This window comes from Homo sapiens, chromosome 14 (genome assembly GCF_000001405.40).
Source record: "Homo sapiens chromosome 14, GRCh38.p14 Primary Assembly".
Taxonomy (NCBI): domain Eukaryota; kingdom Metazoa; phylum Chordata; class Mammalia; order Primates; family Hominidae; genus Homo; species Homo sapiens.
The window spans coordinates 67,617,680-67,640,045 of record NC_000014.9 but is presented as its reverse complement, the minus strand read 5'-3'; the positions used below and the strand labels follow the sequence as shown (position 1 = coordinate 67,640,045).

Sequence of the window (22,366 nt, the reverse complement as noted above, 5' to 3'; positions counted from 1 at the left end):
CTTTAGACTTAAGAGAATGAAAGCTTTAATTAACCTTCAAGTCAATATCAAGTCTTTCCTCTGTCTGTTGACAACACAATCCTGGACTGCACAGACTTTTTTTTTTTTTTTTTTTTTTTTTGAGACAGGGTCTTGCGCTATCATGCAGGCTGGAGTGCAGTGGCACAATCTCGGCTCACTGCAACCTCCACTTCCTGGATTCAAGCAATTCTCCTACCTCAGCCTCCCAAGTAGCTGGGATTACAGGTGTGCGCCACCACGTCTGGTGAATTTGTTTTTGTATTTTTAGTAGAGACAGGGTTTCGCCATGTTGGCTAGGCTGGTCTCGAACTCCTGACCGCAAGTGATCCACCTGCCTCGGCCTCCCAAAGTGCTGGGATTACAGGCATGAGCCACTGCACCCAGTGTACTGTACAGATCTTGAATGGACAATTCCTGGATGTTTCTACTTTCACCTCCATGTTTATCTCAGCACTCTCCTTAAATCACATCAACCATTAGGTTCTTACTAGATGTAAGACACCAGGGTATGCCTGGTGTTTTATAATATTAGGTGTACAATTATAAAAGATTTATAATCTTTATAAATTTATATTTTGGTAATTGCACTCTAAGGAATAGTCATATAAAAGGCCCCAAACTGGAGTTAAATAATATTAACTAACGTTTCAGAACTATTTGCCAAGCACTTTCATTCAATCCTCATAGGACCAAGAAGAAATACAGGGAAATTAAAGTGCTCAATCCAGTGGATAAGTCACAGAACTTTGGGACTACCCAAGTCCAATCATGCAAACCAGGATGTAGACTCAGATAAACGTGACAGAAAACAGTACTCACTTGTATTAGAAAAAAGCTGCACAAAGCCTAAAAAGGAACCTAAAGAGAATTTGGCAATCTTACAGTAACGTTCCCAGGAAGAGAGACTGAATTTCATAGAAGGATTTCAGTCGCTAATTCAGGCCACCACTCTGCTCTCATTACAGGTGCTAGAAGGGTTACTAACTTCTGTCGGGGGTTCATCAGATTAATTCCCAACCTGGGTAGTGGATTCTGTCCACATTGTCCAACTCCATTTACTCCGATGCCATCTCACCAAACAGCATTCTGGCTATTCAGTTGGTTTCCCACATGCCTTAATATGGGCAAAAGCTTCTAGACAGTGGACACTGGAAGGACTACTGCTTAACATAATTATGCACGGGCATTTTGGTTGATCCAGCATGGTTAGCATGAGTCTGGGTCTGAAAGCCTGATGAGCTATGCACTCAGCAACCTTGTGTTTCTGCATCCACAAAGCTAAGGGCCAGCCTCCTCTAAAGGGATTTATACCTTGAGAGGCCCTGCCTGAGTGGCCTACCTTCCTGCTCCCAACTCTGTTTTTTCTTTTTTCCCCCTAGAATATTCAGGAAGAACGAACTCAACTCTATAATTTGCACAGTTTCAGTGCCAGGTAAGGACTTGGGACAATGAGTCCTAAAGGAGTCAGGGGAAGTTCACTGAGGATCAGGGGCGTCAAAGAAGAACTCCTATGACAAATAGTTTGTACTTGCACTGTTTTGTTTTGAAATTCTCTGTAAAATTGGATAACGTGTATATCAGAGGTCCCAAACCTACTGCCCGGGTTTTACTACTGTATCCTTTCAGACTTTAATCATTTTTTTTCTTTTTTTTTTGGATTATTTGTAGAGACAGGGTCTCACTGTGTTTTCCAGGCTGGTCTCCAACTCCTGGGCTCAAGTAATGCTCCCATCATGGCCTTCTAAAGTGCTAGGATTACAGATGTGAGCCACCATGCCTGGGCTAGTTATAGGCATAATACATAATATTATTTTAAGTAAGGTTATTAGAGTAAATTAACTGTCATAGCAAAATATGTTTGAGCCCAAAATATGGCTCAAACAAGTTTATTTCTTGTTTGTTTAGCATCCAGGGTAGATATTCCAGGTCAGCAGGAGGCTTTCCTTTATGCAGTAATTCAGAGACCTGGCTTGTGGCTCTCATGCCTAGGACTTTGCCATCTGTGTGGCTAAGTCTAGGTCTCCCCAGGTTCAAGGCAGCGGGAGAGGAAGAAAGCATTGAGAAAGCACACCTCCTCTTTTCAAGACTCTGGCCTGAAAGTGGCACATTACTCCTGCTCACTTTTGGCACTGGCCAGCAAATGCAGGTCTAGCTTATGTCCAGAACAGAATGCGAATGGATTTTGGTGGACAGCTAGCAATGTATGCCACCGTGAGTACTTTTTTATTCTACTGCCATAACCTTTAAGAACAAAATATGAAAGTTGCTCTAGGATTACAAATTTATGTTAAACTATTCTAGTTAATTACATAACTGAATCAACAAATACATGATGCCAGCCTGATGTCACCTCTTAAGAGCTTTCTCCTCTAATGCCCACTGTGCCAATAGTATTGGGTACTACCAATACCCAAAGGACTGGTAGAACAGAACCCTAGTTCTAGGATTATCTGAACCCTGGTTCTAGTATGTTGTTGTAGAAAACATGAATTGTAACCCATCTGCTACAGTTTTTTTTTAAGAGGAGTGAGGAGGCTGATGGGAAGTTAACTTTTTGTAACAGCAGGATGAACTGAGTAATATTAAAGTTCTTTTTTTTTTTTTTTTTTTTTTTGAGACAGAGTCTTGCTCTGTCGCTCAGGCTGGAGTGCAATGGCATGATCTCGGCTCACTGCAACCTCCACCTCCCTGGTTCAAGGGGCTCTGCTGCCTCAGCCTCCCCAAGTAGCTGGGATTACAGGCATGCACCACCATGCCCAGCTAATTTTTGTAGTTTTAGTAGAGACGAGGTTTCGCCATGTTGGTCAGGCTGGTCTCGAACTCCTGACCTCAAGTGATCCTCCCACTTCAGCCTCCCAAAGCGCTAGGATTACAGGTGTGAGCCACCATGCCCAGCCTTAAAGCTATTTCTTTATCAGAGTGCTGTGGCAAGTTCTTCTGGTTCATAGGTCATAAGAAACGGTCTCACTAATTTTTCAAGAAGCTTAGGGTAATGATGAAAAATGCAGACATTGTAATGTGTAAGGAATATGTGTCTGGCTGTTATGCCTGTGGGAACTTTCCCTTTCTCTAACTGTGCATCAGGTCAATTCATCTGTAAGTCCAGGTCAGATGAGACCTAGTGTTTCATTGCTGCTCTTTCTTCTAAGAGGACATTGTAGGACAAGAGGAGCCTGAAATTTCAAGGAAGTTCTCATGTCAAATAGATTTGGAACAATGTGAAAGGGTCTCATTTTTCACTTGCTGTTTATACACTGGCACAGCCTTGTTGCTTCTCTCCTGAGTGCTGGTAATAAAATACACCGAGTACTACTCTGATCTTTCAGGCCCAGATGTTACCTTTGGCCTTGATAAACCTCTCCAGGCTCTATCAGAGTGGAACAAGAACACAAGTGCATCAACAGAATGATGCAACCAGGCTGTAAGGAAGAAATCAAAACAGCCTTACCTGACCTTAGCAATATCTGTGAACAGCACTTCTATTTCAGGGCTAGTGAGTAAATCCCTGAAAGAAGCCAGAGACAGGAAATGGATAATAATTGTCTGCCTCTACACACCACACTGTGCTACACGCTCTACAGATACGTGCTCATTCTCACATCCTCTGCTGGTGTCACTATCCACACATTGCAGAGGAAGAATTTCAGCAAGGCTGAATAGCTCCAACTGTTTAACAGCAACTGAATTACTCTTTGGTTAGAGCTCATATATGATTACATGATGAGTAAGGTTTTGTTTTTTTGTTTTTTGGGTTTTTTTTTTTGACAGCATAAGACTATCCCATTCTCCCTACTGCTGTGACCCCTGTTGCTACCAGGGCTCATAGCAAGTCAAGAGAGATGGGTTTCAAAGTGGGCTGACACACAGGAGGGTCTGCTGAGCCACAGGCAACCCATTGGTAGAATAACAGACATGGAGAAAAGCTAGGGGCCTCTTAGTGTGCAGTTTTTCCAAATTGTTTCTAAATATGAATAGGATAGAAATGTTTGTGACTTGTCAGGAATAACAAGTCAGTGAAATCAGGAGAAAAACAAAGACTCTGCATCCTCACTTGGTGCTGAGAGGGTACTAATGGCTTTTAAAGTTACAGACTCAAATATTTTACATGGCAGATTTAGCCCCATGCAAAAGGAATTCTTGGAAATTAATTTAAAATTTAAAAAAAATTTTTTTTAGATGAAGTTTTGCTCTTTCACCCACGCTGGAGTGAAGTGGCGTGATCTTGGCTCACTGCAACCTCCACCCACCGGATCAAGCAATTCTCCTGCCTCAGCTTCCCGAGTAGCTGGTATTACAGGTGCCTGCCACCACGCCCGGCTAATTTTTGCATTTTCAGTAGAGACAGGTTTCACCATGTTGGCCAGACTGGTCTGGAACTCCTGACCTCAGGTGATCCACCCACCTTGGCCTCCCAAAGTGCTAGGAATACAGGTGTGAGCCGCCGTGCCCGGCCGAATTCCTGGAATTTTAAAGGGATGTGACTGCTAATTCTTAGAACAAGCTTGTACTTGAAATACTAGCTTATTAAAAATAAAGTTGCAATGTTACTAGAAGTCTAAACTGGAGGGTGGGGAATGGGGGATGCCAGGGTTAATTCAGGCCATTTGAAGTAAGTAGAATTTCTCTTATCCATAAAATGTAATTTGGGTAATAACCTTTGAAGAGACTGTTATTTAGGTAAACTCATTTGGTTACTACCAATAAAATGCAGAGATCTGAATTTTATTTGGTGCATTTAACTCCCAAAGACTGTACAACCTTAAGAACCTTTTCTCTTTTTTTTGAGATGGTCTTACTCTGTCACTCAGGCTGGAGTGCAGTGGCACAAACATGGCTCACTGCAGCCTCAACCTCTCAGGCTCAAGCAATTCTCACATATCAGCCTCCAGAGTAGCTGGGACTACAGGCATGCGCCACCATACCTGGCTAATTTATATTTTTTTGTAGAGACAAGATTTCGCCATTTTACCGAGGCTGGTCTCAAACCCCTGGCCTCAGGCGATCCACCCTCTTCAGCCTCCCAAAGTGCTGGATTACAGGCGTGAGCCACCGTGCGCCCAGCCAAAGAACCATGTGTCTTGAGATATCTGTCCCAGTTCATTTCTTCAGAGTTTCAGAGGAGACAGCTCCAACCAGCCCTTGTAACATCTCCTTCCTCCAAGGTTTGGTCATTAATAGAGAGGGATAAGTAAATTTATTCAAAGGTTAAATTATTTAAGCCAACCACTGTAATCTCTTAGGTTCTGCCTCTGAATTGTACTATTTTGGATATTAAAATAACAATGCACCATCTGTCTAAAGTAATTAGAGGTCAGCCTTACTTGAAGAAAGCAGTCATTATCTACTGATGTCCTGGTTTAAAAATGTATTTCAAAAAAGGGAGCAATAACTCATCATCATTACTACCTACTAGCTTTTTTTTTTTTTTTTGGAGACACGGTCTGGTTCTGTTGCCCAAGATGGAGTGCAGTGGTGTGATCTCAGCTCACTGCAGCCTCCATCTCCCAGGCTCAAGCCATCTTCCTACCTCAGCCTCCCAAGTAGCTGGGACTACAGAAGCCACACCTAGCTAAATTTTTTTTTTTTTTTTTTTTGGTAGAGATAGAGTTTTGCCATGCTACCCAGGCTGGTCTTGAACTCCTGGGCTTAAGTGATCCATCCACCTTGGCCTCCCAAAGTGCTGGGGTTACAGGTGTGAGCCATCGCACCCAGCCCCTACTAACATTTAGCTTGCAAGAGTTAAAGTTTGATATATGGCAGTTATCCTTTGAGTCATACGTTTTAAAAATCTGGGAGACCAGGTGGCTTCTAAGTAGCAGATCATTTTCAGAGAAACAAAATACTGGTTTGGGAAAACTCATCAAGGGTTGTGATGTGAATGAAGTTACAGGAGAAAGCTAAGATGCTTTGCTTCCTTTTTTCCTTCAACAAAAGTATACTCTGTGCCTAGCACTCCACTAAATCCTAGGAATGCAGAAATAAGGTATGGTGCAGACTTCAAGGAGGTCACAGGCTGGTAGGATGTCAGGCAGAGAAAGTGGCAGCCCAGCCCAGTGCTAATTGCTATGAACCAGATGTACAAAGGGTGTGGCGGGAACAGAGACCCAGGAAGAGAAGGGTCAGGAGAACTTCTCAGAAGCAGCAATATCTGAGTCTGGAAGACATTAGCCAGGAATAAGAGAGGAGGAAGAAATGCTTACTGAGGAGGAGAGAATGCCTTCAGCCCTATAGAACAATGCACAATTCCTCCGAACCCAGAGTGCACCTAGAGGACTGCAAAGAGATGCGGCAGGAGCCGGGGCAAGGCCCAGGTCCTAAATGTGGTGGGGAACAACCGTGGTTTCTAAGCCAGGAAGACAAATCAAATCTGCATTTTGGATCTAGTGCTCAGACAGCAGTGTAGAAAATGGTCTGGAGAAGCAGAGTGCCACAGGAAGCTAAAGAAATAAATGAGAGGGAACAGAGTGTCCAGCAATAGAGGGGCATGGGAAGGGAGGGAGAAGATGATAAGGTCAGTTTGGGATATGTTGACATTGATGTGTTAGAGACTATCCTGTTGAAAGCACATGGAGACAAGTTAATGGATAATTCTAGGCAATCGTCAATGGCTGACAGTATCGCTGAAATGTCACCTCTGATGAAGTATACATCGCCATAGAATATGTCATAGGACACCACAGGGATCTAAACAGAGAAATTCTGCAGACAAATGACCTAGATTCTTCTATAAATAAACTGCAAAGAAGAAAAAAAAAGAGAGAACCTACAAAGGTCTTAAAGTATAAAGCAATGTGGACCTCATTTGAATTCAACTCAAACTTAAAAACAAAAAACAACAAAATAAACCTAAAAAGTGTAACTTAATCAGGCAATGTGAACAATACTAATTAAAAATTAAGAGGCTTGGCCGGGCGCAGTGGCTCACGCCTGTAATCCCAGCACTTTCGGAGGCCGAGGCGGGCGGATCACGAGGTCAGGAGATCGAGACCATCCTGGCTAACATGGTGAAACACTGTCTCTACTAAAAATACGAAAAATTAGCCGGGCGTGGTGGCGGGCGCCTGTAGTCCCAGCTACTCAGGAGGCTGAGGCAGGAGAATGGTGTGAACCCGGGAGGCGGAGCTTGCAGTGAGCCGAGATCACGCCACTGCACTCCAGCCTGAGCGATAGAGCGAGACTCTGCCTCAAAAAAAAAAAAAAAAAAAAAAAAAAAAAATTAAGAGGCTTAATTCTCCCTGTTGAAAATAAAGAAAGAGACCTCCCTTCCTTCCTTCTATTTCATAATATTTGTGTGCTTTTCAAATTTATGTGAATCTTCATAATGACTAAATAGGCCTCTCACAAGTCTCACAACCCAGGAATGCTTCTTCAAGGACCCAGGAAGCCATCTCCTGGAGATGCAAACATTTAGGGAGATAGTGCCTCAACCTCTCAGTTCCTACAGAAGGGTAAGAGCCTAACTCCCCTGGGTACAAATGGTGGGCACCTTGCTCCAATTTGCAAAACCACCTCCTGTGTTAAGATATGAGAAGTCTGTTTCCCCTCTGGGTGGCCATAATAAAGTTAGGATACACTGTGTGTGATCAAAGGTGCTGTCCAGTCCATGAAACAAGATGTCTGATTTACTCCAAAATGGTCTGGAGGTGGTGTAAAAAACATTGCCACGTATTGGTGATGATGCTGGCTTATGGATATATCAAGTCAGTTATGTTACCATCTCTACTTTCATTATGTTTGAATACTTCCATAACAAAAAGTTAAAAAGATAAGATACATGGAAGACATCTGTATACAGGTTTGCAGTTAGGAGGAAAAATAAGTATTAGAGATAAAGTTTTTGCTGGGCATAGTGGCTCATGCCTGTAATCCCAACACTTTGAGAGGCTGAGGTGGGAAAATTGCTTGAGTCTAGGAGTTTGAGACCAACCTGGGGCAGCATAGTGAGACCTCATCTCTAAAACAAAAAGAAAAAAATAAACAAAATTAGCTAGGCATGGTGGCACAAGCCTGTGGTCCAAGCTACTTGGGACACTGAGGTGGAAGAATCACTTGAGCCCATGAGGTAGAGGTTGTAGTGAGCCAAGATTACACCACTGCACTCTGGCCTGGGTGACAGAGCAAGACCCTGTCTCAAAAAATTTTTAAAAAAATAGAGCTTTGGGTGGCATCAGCATACAGGTGACAGTAAAGCCATGGAAGCAGACTGCCAACCAAGACAGGATAAAGCAGGAGAATCAAGGACAGAATCCTGAGAACACTGACATGTAAGAAGTAGCTAGAAAAAGAGGATGTAGGCCAGATGCAGTGGCTCACACCTGTAATCCCAACACTTTGGAAGGCCAAGGCAGGAGGATCACATGAGGCCAGGAGTTAAACACCAGCCTGGGCAACATAGTGAGACCCTGTATCTAAAAATAAATAAGTTAACTGGTGTGGTGGCATGTCCCTGTAGTTCCAGCTACTTGGGAGGCTAAAGTAGGAGGATCGTTTGAACCTGGGAGGTGGAGGCTGTAGTGAGCTGAGATCGTACCACTGTACTCCAGCCTGGATGACAGAGTGAGACCCTGTCTCAAAAAAAAAAAAAAAAAAAGAAAGAAAGAAAGGATTTACTAGAGGAATTTGAAGAGTTGAAGCCAAGAGAGAATAGTGTTGGTTTCAATAAAGAAAGATTAGTGGTGTAAATAAGGTGAATGTTACACTGTTCATCTGTTCATTGTATTAGAAAGTAGGTCAGATACTGCAGCAATACTAGGTTTATTGCAATGATGGCCTACGAAGCCACATTATAACAAGCTGAAATGTGAAAGGGCAATGAGAAAGCCAGGAAGTTGGCTCTGAAGAAAAACAAAATAACTGGACAACAGCTAGAGGGCTACCTAAGGTCAAGGGGGATGGTGGAGGGTAAGGGTTGCACAATTAATTACCGAAAGGACAGGTTAGGAGAGAAGAGCCATGACACGAGGTGAGGGGAGGGATAATGCTGGAGCAGGGACTGTCAGAGGGGAGGGGGTCTAGAGCATAGGGAGAGGGCACTGCCGAGTGTTAGTTACCCAACATTCATTCTTCCCTTTTTCCGGAAAGAAAAGGTTTTTAGCTGGGAGCATTAACCTCTTAGAAAAGACTACATTCTACATGCTACATGGGCGGGGCACGGTGGCTCACACCTGTAATCCCAGCACTTTGGGAGGCCAAGGCAGGTGGATCACAAGGTCAGGAGTTCCAGACCAGACCAGCCTGGCCAAGATGGTGAAACTCCATCTCTACTAAAAATACAAAAAATTAGCTGGGCACAGTGGCAGCTGCCTGTAATCCCAGCTACTATGGAGGCTGAGGCAGAGAATTGCTTGAACCTGGGAGGCGGAGGTTGCAGTGAGCCAAGATCGCGCCACTGCACTCCAGCCTGGGCGACAGAGCGAGACTCCATCTAAAATAAATAAATAAATAAACATAAAAACTATATTTACTAACCTCGCTTGTAACTGGATGTGGTCACATGAACTAGTTCTGGACAATAGGATAAGCAGAACCGTGTCCCGCAGCAACTTCTTGGGAAGGGAAGAGAACTGCCTTTGCCCCTTTCTTTGTTCATTCTTCCATCCTGCTGCTGAGGCTACAACCATCTGGCACCATTAGGCAGAGGCCTTGCCAGTAGCACCAGATAAGAATCTAGGTCTGAACTTAAAGGAAGAGAACCACTAAACCAGCTCTGGACTACTTTCCAAATTGTTTACTTGAGAGTGAAATGAACTATTTTTCTTTCCACTGTTAATTTTGAACCCTTACCATGGGCACTGTTATCTATGATACCCATTTCAACAGCAAAAACCGCAATTACTTTTGCACAAACCTAATACAGAACTAGACCTTCATCCTCTGACGTTCTTTGTCAATACAACTGATGTGGGGGATGACAGGGAGAAAGTTGAGAGAGTCCCTACCCGAACTGGAAAAGCATGAGCTTGAGGATCATGAGATGGCTGTGGTGGGAAATGTGGGAAGGAAGACACTGAGAACGAGGGCTCTTCAGAAGCTGGAGGTGAAGATCATGCATTTAGGATGATTTTTTAAAGATTTTTGAAACTATTTATATTTTTGTCTTACAAATGATCACTTTTAAGTGGACTTTCTGTAAGAATGTACAACTCAAAAATTTGCCAAGTATCTATCGGATCCACACAAATCCTTAGAAAGGTTTTCTGTGTAGTCTTCACTAACGCAAGTCCTTGGGAATGTTTCACTTTTACTGTAGGATCTTGAACACATTTCACAATAATGAAACTATAAAGTTTTTATGCAGTGCATTCGTTATTAACTATAAATAACATTTCTATTAAAAAAGAAATCTGGGTAGTACAGTTTCTTCCTTTGTAGTAAGAGCCGAGAAGACTGAGAAGTTGATTGGACACTACCATCACTACCATCATCCATCTCCAGAACTCATCTTGCAAAACAAACTCTGTACCCATTAAGCAATAATTAACTCCCCATTTCCTTCTCCCACCAAGTCCTAGTAACTGATATTCCACTTTGTTTTTATAAATTGGACTTCTCTAAAAACTTCATATAAATGGAATCATGCTGTATTTGTCCTTTTGTCACTGGCTTATTTCACTTAGCATAATGTCCTCAAAGTTCACCCATATTGCAGCATATGTCAGGTTTCTTTGTTTTGTTTCTTAAACAGATGAGGCTTTATTCTGTTGTCCATGCTGCCAGACTGGAATGCAGTGGTATGATCATAGCTCACTGCAGCCTCAACCTCCTGGGCTCAAGCAATACTCCTGCCTCAGCCTCCTGAATAGCTAGGACTATGTGCATGCACCACCACACCTGGCTAATTTTTTTCCCCCCACTGTGGAGATTGGGACTCGCTAAGTTGCCCAGGCTGGTCTCAAACTCCTGGACTCAAGCAATCCTCCTGCTTCAGCCTCCCAAAGTGCTGGGATTACAGGCATGAGCCACCCCACCCAGCCCTGCTTTTTGAAGAATGAATGATAGTCCATTATATGTATGTACCACATTTTGGTTGTCCATTCATCCATCAATGGACACTTGGGTTGCTTCCACCTTTTGGCTATTGTTAATACTGCTGTGAACATGGGTACACAACTACTTCAAGATCCTGCTTTCAGTCCTTTTGGGTACATACCCAGAAGTGGAATTGCTAAATCATATAGTAATTCTATTTTTAATTTTTAGAGGAGTTGCCATACCGTTTTCCATAGCAGCTCCATTTTATGTTCCTACCAACAGTGTAAAAGAGTTTCAATTTCTCCACATCTTCATCAACACTTCTTATTTTCTGTTTTGATAGTAGCCATCCTAATGGCTGAGGTGGTCAAAATTTGCTTTTTACAAATTATGAAAATGGGATAATAGCAAATGCCTAGCACAGTGTCTAGAAGATGGTAAATGTTAAGTATCAAAAAACTTTTGATAAGAGGTATTAAGTTAAATAAGAGGTATTAAGTTAAAATCTTTGCTGTCATAAATGGGAAATATACGGCTACATTGAAATTTGCCAAATCCCAATAGTGTCTATTATAGATTTCCCTCTATGCAGGCACATCACTAAGTTTTTACTAAGGCATTAGCAAATTACTGATTATGTATTCACCTCCTAAAAGGAATCTGCAGCCGAGCACAGTGGTGCACATCTGTAATCCCAGCTATCCTGAAGGCTGAGGCAGGAGGCTTGCTTGAGCCCAGAAGTTTGAGGCAGTAGTGTACTATGATTATGTCTGTGAATAGCCCCCACACTCCAGCCTGGGCAACATAGTGAGACCTATCTATAAAATAAAAGAATCTGCAATATAAAGGAGGCCCAGAAAATGAAAAGCTTGAACCCAAAGAAATAGGTCACTATTAGTGACATTCCAGGTGAGATTGGAGAGGGCCCTAAAGTGATGCCACTTATCAGCTCATGCCTCAGCTCCTATTCCTCTGCTACAGGTGGCCCATCCCCCAAGGGCACTGTGGCACAGATGAGGTCCAAAGCAGGTTTGGTCTTTGCTAGATCTCTAAAGGAAATATAAAGCCAATTTGCTAGACATTTACTCTTCCAAATACATATCAGAGTGACTTTAGAAGTCAAAGAACCCAGAACTTTAATAACCTTAAACAAACAAGCTCATTCCAATAATTTAGCTTCCAGTCACATATGCAGACCCTAGGCAAAGACTTTTTTGTGGGAAATGGGACAGGTGCTGTACTTTCATTTCTTCCTTGCTGTGGAAATAGACTCTTAAAAAATGTAGAGATGGGGTCTTGCTACATTGTCCAGGCTGATCTTAAACTCCTGGCCTCAAGCAATCTTCCCACCTTGGCCTCCCTAAGTGCTGGGCTGACAGGCATGAGCCACTATGCCTTGCTAAGTGTTTAATAGAAGAGTGTGAATGGCAGAGGCAGAAGGTTTGGTGGATCATACAGCCTTACAGTCTCTTCAGAAACATCACTGATATTTGCTGTTGAGTCAACCTAGCAACCAATTCTTGTCCCAAAGATATGACACTGTTCAAAAGGCACCTCAGAGATGCCAGTTTCATCTCTTTTCAATGCCCAAAACTAGAGCTTGAAAAGATGGATATCTATCAACAGACATGATTTGTAATGTGTCTTTACTGTATATTTCATAAAATATAAACACATAAAACTTACATAAGTATAACAGATAGTTGTAAACACCCTATAATTACTACCCAAGTCACAAAACAGATCAATATTAGCAATTCAGAAGTTTCAGATATATATATATATATATATATATATCTCCTTACTGATCACAATTGCCTAGTTTTTTAATTATTGAGATATAATTCACATACCATAAAATTCATCCTTTTAGAATTTATAATTCAGTGCTTTCTAATATATTCAAGAAGTTGTGCAGCCATCGACACTACCTAATTCTACAACAGTCCCATCACCCTTCGGAAAGAAACCCATGCCCTTTAGCAGTCATTCCCAGCTCCTGGGAACCACTAATCTCCTTTCTGTCTTTATGGCTTTGCCTGTTCTAGACAGTTCATATAAATGGAATCATATAACATGTGGCCTTCTGTGTCTGCCTTCTTTGACTTAGCATGTTTTCTAGGTTCATCCATGTTGTAGCATAAATTAGTACTTCATTCCATTTATGACTGAATAATACTCCATTATATGGATATGTCAAATTTTCCTCCCCTATTCAATTAATGTACATTTGAGTTTCCACATGTTGACCATTATGAATAATGCTATGAATATTTGTATATAAGTTTGTGTGTGGCCAGGTGCAATGGCTCATGCCTATAATCCTAGCACTTTGGGAGGCTGAGGCAGGTGGATCACTTGAGGCTAGGAGTTCGAGACCAACCTGGCCAACATGGCAAAATTAAAAATACAAAAGTTAGCTGGGCATGGTGGTGCTTGCCTGTGGTCCCAGGTACTCAGAAGGCTGAGGCCGAGATTGCACCACTGCACTCCAGCCTGGGTGAAAGAGCGAGACTGTCTAAAAAAAAAAGTTTGTGTGAATATATGTTTTGAATTCTGTTAGGTATATACATAGGAATGGATTTGCTTGAGGACACAGTAACTATACATTTAACTTTGAGGATCTGCCAAACTGTTTTCCAAAGTGGCTGCAGTTTTACATTCACACCAGTAGTGTATGACAGGTCGAATCTTTTTACACCCTCACCAATACTTGGTATTGTCTATCTTTTTTATCATAGCCATCCTAGTGGGTGTGAAATGGTATTTCATTGTAGTTTTGTGGTTTTTTTTTTCCCCTGAGACAGAGTCTCACTCTGTTGCCCAGGCTGGAGTGCAGTGGTACAATCTCTGCTCACTGCAACCTCCACCTCCTAGGTTCAAGTGATTCTCCCACCTCAGCCTCCTGAGTAGCTGGGACTACAGGAGTGTGCCACCACATCCGGCTAATTTTTGTATTTTTTAGTAGAGACGGAGTTTCACCATGTTGATCAGGCTGGTTTGAACTCCTGACCTGAAATGATCTGCCCGCCTCAGCCTCCCAAAGTACTGGGATTACAGGTGTAAGCCGCCACACCCGGCCATTGTAGTTTTAAATTTGCATTTCCGTAATGACTAATGTGTTTACTGCCCATTTGTATAACTTCTTTGGAGAAGTGGCTAATTAAATCTATTGCTAATTTTTAAATTTGGTTGTCTTTTTACGGTTGTTATTTTATTTATGTTTGCCGAACACTAGAATCTTATCAGGTATATGATTTGCAAATATTTTGCCAATTCTATGGGCAGTCTTTTTACCTTTTCTCTTTTTTTTTTTTGGTTTTTCATTACATTGATGAAGTCTTTCCAGTTTCTTTTTTTTTTTTTTTTTTTTGAGATGGAGTTTTGCTCTCGTTGCCCAGGCTGGACTGCAATGGCACAATCTCGGCTCATCACAACCTCCGCCTCCCAGGTTCAAGCAATTCTCCTGCCTCAGCCTCCCGAGTAGTTGGGATTACAGGCATGCACCACCATGCCCGGCTAATTTTTTTTTGTATTTTTAGTAGAGATGGGGTTTCTCCATGTTGAGGCTGGTCTCGAACTCCTGACCTCAGGTGATCCGCCTGCCTCAGCCTCCCAAAGTGCTGGGATTACAGGCGTGAGCCACCGTGCCTGGCCCCCACTTTCTTAATAGTGCTCTTTGAAACATAGATGTATTTAATTTAGCTAAGTCAAGTTTAATTTTTGTCACTTATGATTTTGATGGGATAGCTAAGAAACCAATACCTAACCCAAGGTCGCAAAAATCCAGTCCTATGTTCTCTAACAGTTATATGGTTTCAGCATTACATTTAGGACTTTGGTCCATTTTGAGTTAATTTTCATATATGGTGTGAGATAGGGATTTTTTTTTTTTTAATGTGGATATCCAGTTATCCCAGCACCATTTACTGAAGACTATTCTTTCCTTACTGACTTGTGTTGGTCAAATAAAGACAGCCTTGTGAATGGACAATTTTAGGAAACCATCAGACCAGTCAAATGACAATTTTCTGGGGATGGTCTATGAGGAGTATCACCTCTGTTCTCCCTTTTGCAGTAACTGCCAGCCTCCTGGTTTCACTGTGATTGCAGGCTATCGGTTGTCCAGGCTACAGCTGATCTGGGAAAAGGCAGCATGGGAACAGGGCAAGTTAAAATGCCACAATTCTTAATGTTCTTACTGAGATTCAATGTTTTTCTTGAATAAATGCTCCCCAGATTGCTGCAAGCCTTTGGTTAATTTCCAGAGTTCTGAAAAAGCTGATTCTGATCATTTTTGCCAATGTTCTTGATATGGTTTGGCTCTGTGTTCCCATCCAAATCTCATGTTGAATTTTAATCCCCAATGTTGGAGGTCTGGCCTGGTGGGAGGTGATTGGATCATGGGGGTTGTTCCTAATGGTTCAGCACCATCTCCCTAGTGCTGTCTCATGATAGAGTTCTCATGAGATCCGGTTAAAAGTGTGTATCACCTCCCTCTTCGCTGTCTTCCTCCTGCTCCTGCCATATAAGACGTGCTTGCTTCCCCTTCACCTTCCGCCATGATTATAATTCTCCTGGGGCCTCCCCAGAAGCAGAAGCCTGTATGTCCTGCAGAACCATGAGTCAATTAAACCTCTTTTCTTTTTAAATTACCCAGTCTCAGGTATGTCTTTACAAAAGTACAAGAACAGACTAATACAGTTCTCATTCCTTTTTTGGAGGTCCTATGCCACCATTTTCAATGGTGTCACTATACAGTATTTTAAAACAACACAGATTTCCCATTAAAGTGCAAATTTCTGGCTTTTCTTGAAAAACTGGAGAAAAGAGTACAAGGCCCACTCCTTCTCACATGGTAACAGGTGGCTAGAATTCACAAATTACCATGGTTCTCAGAGCTAACCAAAATCGAGTGCAGATATACTGCTCCTCAGCCTTGCCAGAGCAATGCCTTTTCATTTCTCTTAGGCCCTCTTAAGCCCAGGAGTTCGGGACCAGCCTGGGCAACATAGTGAGACCCCGGCTCTACAAAAGAAAAAAAAATTATCCAGGCATACTGGCATGTGTCTGTAGTCCCAGCTACTCAAGAGGCTAAAGTGGGAGGATCGCTTGAGTCCAGGAGGTTGAGATTGCAGTAGGCTGTGACTATGCCACTGCACTCCAGCCTGAGTGACAGAGTGAGACCCTCTCTCAAAGAAAAATAAAAGGTGGCTGGGAGCAGTGGCTCACTCTTGTAATCCCAGCACTTTGGGAGGCCTAGATGGGCAGATCACCTGAGGTCAGGAGTTCGAGATCAGCCTGGCCAACATGGTGAAACCCCATCTCTACTAAAAATACAAAAATTAGTCAGGCGCAGTGGCAGGCACCTGTAATCCCAGCTACTTTGGAGGTTGAGGCAGGAGAATTGCTTGAACCCGGGAGGCGGAGGTTGCAGTGAGCCAAGATCGCATCACTGTACTCCAGCCTGGTGACAGAGCGAGACTCCGTCTCAAAAAAAAAAAAAAAAAAAAAAAAAAGGTTACCTGAGAGTACTGTTGAGTGTCCTTACTAAGCCCAAGGAAATAAAACAAGCCCAGACACTAAGTCAAATACATTCATTCGAGAGAAAACAGGAAATTTAACTCATGCTATGGTAACACCGGCAGCCTGTGACATCAGAGCAAAGGCAAGGAACAAAGGGATTGTGAAAGTTACCTTTCCATGAGTCTCTCCTTTGAAATTTGATCCATGCTGTTTATTTGAAAGTGTTCAAAACACTCAAGTTATTTTGGTACTGTTTAGGAACAGAGCAACTGAAATGTCTCTTGGTACTTTTCTCCAATATATTCCAGGAGATTAGCCAAAACCACATGCTAGAAATCTGCTGAGAGCCACAGTTTTATTTAATAGGCTATGAGATTCTATTTCAGACTGCTGGTGATACTGAGCTACCAGTCAGCTACACAGTAAGGATATAATTGTACAATTAAATATATTTGAGAAAAAAAGTCAAAGGGAAGGCCATATAAACTGAAGCCTCACCATCACTTTAGGTTGGAGTTTAAAGAGGGAGTAATATTTACAGGAGAATGGCTTCCCCTGGGTTGGAGTGGAAAAATACCAAGAGCTGTGACAGGAAAGGAAGTCTACAAAGCATGAGTAAGAGAAGCTGCTACAAATGTGCCCTTCCCCCTCATTCAGCAGCCTCAGCTGATTGTTATAGAGGTCTCCTCCAGAAGAGGCTGAAACCGCTTCTTGTCAGGAATCTCTTAAGGCAGAACCTACAGACGGTAGAGCAATTTGAGCAATGCTTGGCCGAGTTCAGATGGACTGCAGAGATGTCTCCAGGATTTAAAAACAGTGATAACCAGAGATTGTCGTCTTCAGTGTAAAATGATTCTTTTAAAAAGGCAGTGTGTACAAGCTATTTTAAGAGACAGTATGCTCATTTATGGGCGGGAATAAAAACTTCCTCCCATTAGTTAACTTGCCACACATTAAAAGAAGACTAAATCTTAGCAGTTTGTCTTTAATCTTCAGTGGTGAACTTGGAGAGTTATTAAAATGACTAAGAGAGGCCTTAGTAAAGAAGAAACTGCAATTATTTAATAAACAAGGTTCGAATATTGAATCCATGTCACCATATCCATATGTAGGTGGAGGTATATGAAGGACACCTCAACTCAAGGCTGTTTCAGTGACTTCATTATTCCTCTGGCTTTTGGAAGGAGATGACTTCACTTGGAATGGACTTATGACCAGCAGAGAAGAGTTCAGAGCAACAGTGGGGAGTTAACTTAGATTATGTGTTATTATCTCCATAATCTCCGTGCTGCCTCACATTTTGCACTTATGTCACCAGAAAAGATATGTGAATGATCCAAACATGAACAGAGCAAATGGCCTTGAACAGAGTCTAGAAACATTTAGATTGGATATAAAGAAGAACCTTCCTGCCATAAAGGTATTTATTTATTTATTTGAGATGGAGTCTCATTCTGTCACCCAGGCTGGAGTGCAGTGGCACAATCACTGCAACCTTTGCCTCCCAGGTTCAAGCAATTCTTCTGTCTCAGGCTCCTGAGTAGCTGGGACTACAGGTGCATGCCACTATGCCTGACTAATTTTTGTATTTTTAGTAGAGAAGGGATTTCGCCATATTGGTCAGGCTGGTCTCGAACTCCTGACCTCAGGTGATCCACCCACCTTGGCCTCCCAAAGTGCTGGGATTACAGGCATGAGCCACCGCACCCTGCTTATAAAGGTATTCAAATTTGGTGCTGTTACTAAGAGAAGGGTTCTCCCTTACTATGGAAATGGCATTTATAGCTGGGCACAGTGGCTCACACCTATAATCTCAGCACTTTGGGAAGCTGAGGTGGGCGGATCACCTGAGGTCAGGAGTTCAAGACCAGCCTGACCAACATGGTGAAACCCCGTGTCTACTAAAAATACAAAATTAGCCAGGTGTGGTGGCACGCACCTGTAATTCCAGCTACTTGGGAGGAGAATTGCTTGAACCCAGAAGGTGGAGGTTGCAATGAGCCAATATTGCATCACTGCACTCCAGCCTGGGTGATGGAATAAGACTCCATCTCAAAAAAAGAAAAAAAAAAAGAACACGGAAAATATAGATCTAAGCCTATTAGTTCTATATAAGATCAGTGAGCCTATAAGACCTATATTACTGCTTCCAGTAATAAAGATATTAACCCTAGAGAGGAAATAATTTGAAGACAGAAAACTGGCGAGACTGATAAATCATAAGCATCTCAAGATGGAGTTAGGAAAATGGAATTTTAAGGGGAAAGGTTGACTGTGCAGTTGAAGCTGGAGCTAGTGTTCTTAGCATCACTTGCATTCCCTGACAGCTGTTCAGACCTTGCCTCACTCTACCTCCTTGCCTTCCAACACACTCTTTATTGCAAGAAGACTTTCCCTGATGACTCCTTGATCTTAAGCCGCAGACGGAATCCAAAGGAGGATGCGGGATGTGGCAGACTGTTCCCAAACACAAAGCTGTGTAGTCCCTGGATGTCAGAGAAAAGACTCTGAAGTGGTCTATTACTAGTCCTGCACTAATATCTAAAAATCTAACCACTTACCCAAACTGGAGAGCCTTTTCATCAAGCCAGCTTCTCTTATGGCAGCGGGACCATGCTCCACTCCTTTTCTTTTCTGTCAGTCACACAAATTACACAATTAGAGGTAGAGAAGGTGTCGGAAAAAAACCCATTTGGTACATTTAGTTCCCAGCAGGTTCCTCTGAAAACCTGTGACAGCATCAGCCCTTCCATCAATGACTGTCCTTCCAACTCCATTGTTGGAATCACATCAGCTGCCCAAGCCAAGACGGGAGAGGCTGAGCCAGGTTAGGATCCAGGAGCTAGGCGTGTGTGGGGCTGGCTCGGGCCAGAGACTGGGCTTCTGGGCTTCGAGATGACTGAGCGCTCCCGACTGCAGGTTTCCTTCATTGAAGAGAACAAAACAGCTCCTCCCCACCTCCCGCGCTGGAGAGGCCAGCTCCAATTTCCCTCCCAGTTAATGCTCATTCTGAGTGAATGGATCCAGAAGACTTAAATCCTCGGTCGCTCCTTTTAACCTCCTCCATCGATTCTCCACTGGGGATTCTGACCAGTTTCGCCTCCTCCAGCCCCTCCAAGGAATCCTCTTCCTCATTCTCTCCCCTCCATTACCCCAAGCTGCATCCACCGTTTTCTCGGTCTTTCTGGGGAGGCCGCAGAAACACACCCTCATCCCAAACAGGGTGCCCTCCACCCCTCCCTCCCTCCCTCTCCATTCTCTGTCGGAGGATATCCCACATGCTCCCACGGTGCCCAGTAGCGGGAACCGGCCAGCTCTTCCCCTCGCCATTTCTCCCCATCCTCTCCTCGCCTCCCGGTCCCCCGCACCCTACCGCCGCTGTCTCCAGGTTCTAGGGGGCGGAGGATCCTGCCCGGCGGTTCCAGGTGCCAGTTCTCACCTGCCCTTGTGAGAACGGGGCTCCTATCACAGCCACGGAGTGGACGGATTTCTTCAGGATGGAATGCACTCGCGTCTGGAGGAGACGCGAGAGGCTGCCCCTTAGGGACATGATCCGCAGCACTGAGAATCTCCAAGGCAGAGGCTCCGCGCGGTTGGAAGCCGGGAGTGAGCGCCACCGCCCGCCGCTGCTCTTACCTACCCGCGCCAGCGTCCGCCCGCCCCGTGACGTCACCGCCACATTGGCCCCGCCGCCCGCGCCTCCAACCAGCCCCCGGCACACCTTCTTCGCAGGCCCCGCCCACCGCTCTGCAAGGCTGGGACGTGCCTTCGATGACGTCACCCCACTCTGGCCTGTGCTCTCCGGCCAGGGACATGCCCCTGCCGCTGACGCCAGAAGGCCAATATCCGGGTCTGGCCAGTAAGAGCGCGGTGACCAACAGGTGTGTCCCTTCGCGGGAGGCGGCCGGCCCATGCCAGGTTCCTGAACTTGGCGGAACGCAGGAGCCGACACCAATCTTCACGCCCGGCTGATGCTGACTCTACGGATGGGCTGGCTGGGTCGGGCCTGGTCTGGCCCTGCCTAGTCAAAGCCAGGATCCACCTGCTTCGTTCTATCTCAAAGCTCAAAGCCCAGGAAACACTCTTAGACTGGGCATCAGTGAAATTTGGATTCGGAGATATAATATAGATGAGAGCTCTCTGAGCCGGGCACGTTTATAAAGAGCCATCTACCTTAGGTATTTTGAATGAAAGAGGTTAGGATTTACAAAGCAATTACCTTTTAGATGTTTTTAATTCTTTACCTGAATAACGGGAGCGCTGGTTATTAAAAAAGCAAATATAGCAACGTATTTAGACTATTTCTAAGCTAAAGAGCTGTAAGTGCTAAGTAACTAGAGTTTTAATAACGAATAATAATTTAATAATCTCAGCATTCCAAGAACTTTACCCCTCCAATTCTATACCACAGGTTACTTTTTAAAGCGAAGAAAAGATCAAAGACATAAGTAATTTTCCCAGAGCCACATAGCTTGTAAGTGGCAGAGCTGACTCCACATTCCAAGTTCTTAACCAAGACACCATGGCATGCAAGAATCTAGACATTATTTCTACCAAATTAATTTTTTACATAAACTCCTGAAATTTATTTCACCTCATGTCAATTTACACACTGCTCTCCAAAACAGTTCAGAGGTCTCCATGGCAACACCATAACTCCAAAGGAGTTTTAGTACCCTAAGACATTTTATTTTTAGAGGCTCTGTTGTATATTGTCTCCCCCTGCTGGTTTAACAATGATGTCTTTGAGGCCTTAGCAAAATAACCACTGTAAGGCAGTGGTTCTGAAAGTGTGGTCCCAGACCAGCAGCATCAGCATCACCTGGATACAGCATCAAGAAGAAACTGGCTGCACATGGTGACTCACACCTGTAATTCCAACACTTTGGGAGGCCAAGGCAGGAGGATCTCCTGAGCCCAGGAGTTTGAGACCAGCCTGGGCAGCATAGTGAGACGCTGACTCTACCAGAAATTTAAAAAAAAAAAAATAGCTGGATGTGGTGGCATGTGCCTATGGCCCCAGCTACTTGGGAGGCTAAAGTGGGAGAATCTCTTGAGCCCAGGAAGTCGAGGCTTCAGTGAGCCATGATCACACCACTGCATCTCAGCCTGAGTGACAGAGTGAGACCCTATCTCAAAAAAATAAAAATAAAAAGCAGCAAGAAACTTCTTGCTTCTTGAGCACCTGCTATGGGTCACCAGATACTTGTTAGAAGTGCAAATTCTTGGGCCCCACTCGCGAATTTACAGAATCAGTAACTCTAGGGGTAGGGCACCGGTAACCTATGTTTTAACAAGCCCTCCAGGAATGGGTGGGGGCGTGGTCAGGGATTCACAGTCACAGATACTGTCATACTTGTTCAGTTCATTGAAATTATGTTGATACTTTTGTATTTCTTGCCCATCACTACATTCAATTTTTTTCCCCCTTTACTAAATGTTTTCTGAAGTTGATACTGGCACAGGTTGCCTCAGGGCTTCCTGTGCTACTGCAAAAACCTCTTGCTTCCGCTGGGCGCGGTGGCTCACACCTGTAAAACCAGCATTTTGGGAGGCCGAGGCAGGTGGATCACCTGAGGTCAGGAGTTTGAGACCAGCCTGACCAACATGGAGAAACTCCTGTCTCTCCTAAAAATACAAAAAGCTGGGCATGGTGGCGGGCACCTGTAATCCCAACTACTCAGGAGTCTGAGGCAGGAGAATTGCTTGAACCTGGGAGGCGGAGATTGCGGTGAGCCAAGATTGTGCCATTACACTCCAGCCTGGGCACCAAGAGCAAAACTCTGTCTCAAAAACAAACAAACAAACAACAAAAAACCTCTTGCTTCTTGAGCATTTACTGTGGATC

At 43.7% G+C, this 22,366-nt stretch overlaps 2 protein-coding genes and 1 long non-coding RNA gene across 3 annotated transcripts in view, besides 1 other annotated feature; 1 reads left to right on the top strand and 2 right to left on the bottom strand.

Annotated features, from left to right (window-relative positions):
* ARG2 (arginase 2) overlaps positions 1-20,126 on the bottom strand; it is a 31,789-nt gene extending 11,663 nt beyond the window's left edge. The window contains exons 1-2 of the mRNA NM_001172.4: positions 19,958-20,126; positions 19,080-19,152 (exon numbers count right to left, since the gene is read on the bottom strand). Of these exons, the coding sequence (NP_001163.1) occupies positions 19,080-19,152; positions 19,958-20,068 (184 nt within the window). The 5' untranslated portion in view covers positions 20,069-20,126. The remainder of the gene's footprint in view (positions 1-19,079; positions 19,153-19,957) is intronic.
* Positions 1-22,366, bottom strand: part of GPHN (gephyrin) — a 1,227,209-nt gene that overhangs the window by 95,310 nt on the left and 1,109,533 nt on the right. The gene's annotated exons all lie outside the window — the stretch shown is intronic.
* Positions 333-14,179, top strand: LOC124903331 (uncharacterized). Its single transcript, XR_007064218.1, has 2 exons — positions 333-1,453; positions 10,706-14,179. It is a non-coding gene; the product is annotated as an uncharacterized LOC124903331 (long non-coding RNA).
* Positions 20,127-20,196: a silencer, noted in NCBI's record as "silent region_5860". NCBI's record gives its function as "represses an Ori minimal core promoter by ATAC-STARR-seq in GM12878 lymphoblastoid cells {active_cell/tissue: GM12878}" and the evidence as "EXISTENCE:reporter gene assay evidence [ECO:0000049][PMID:35858748]".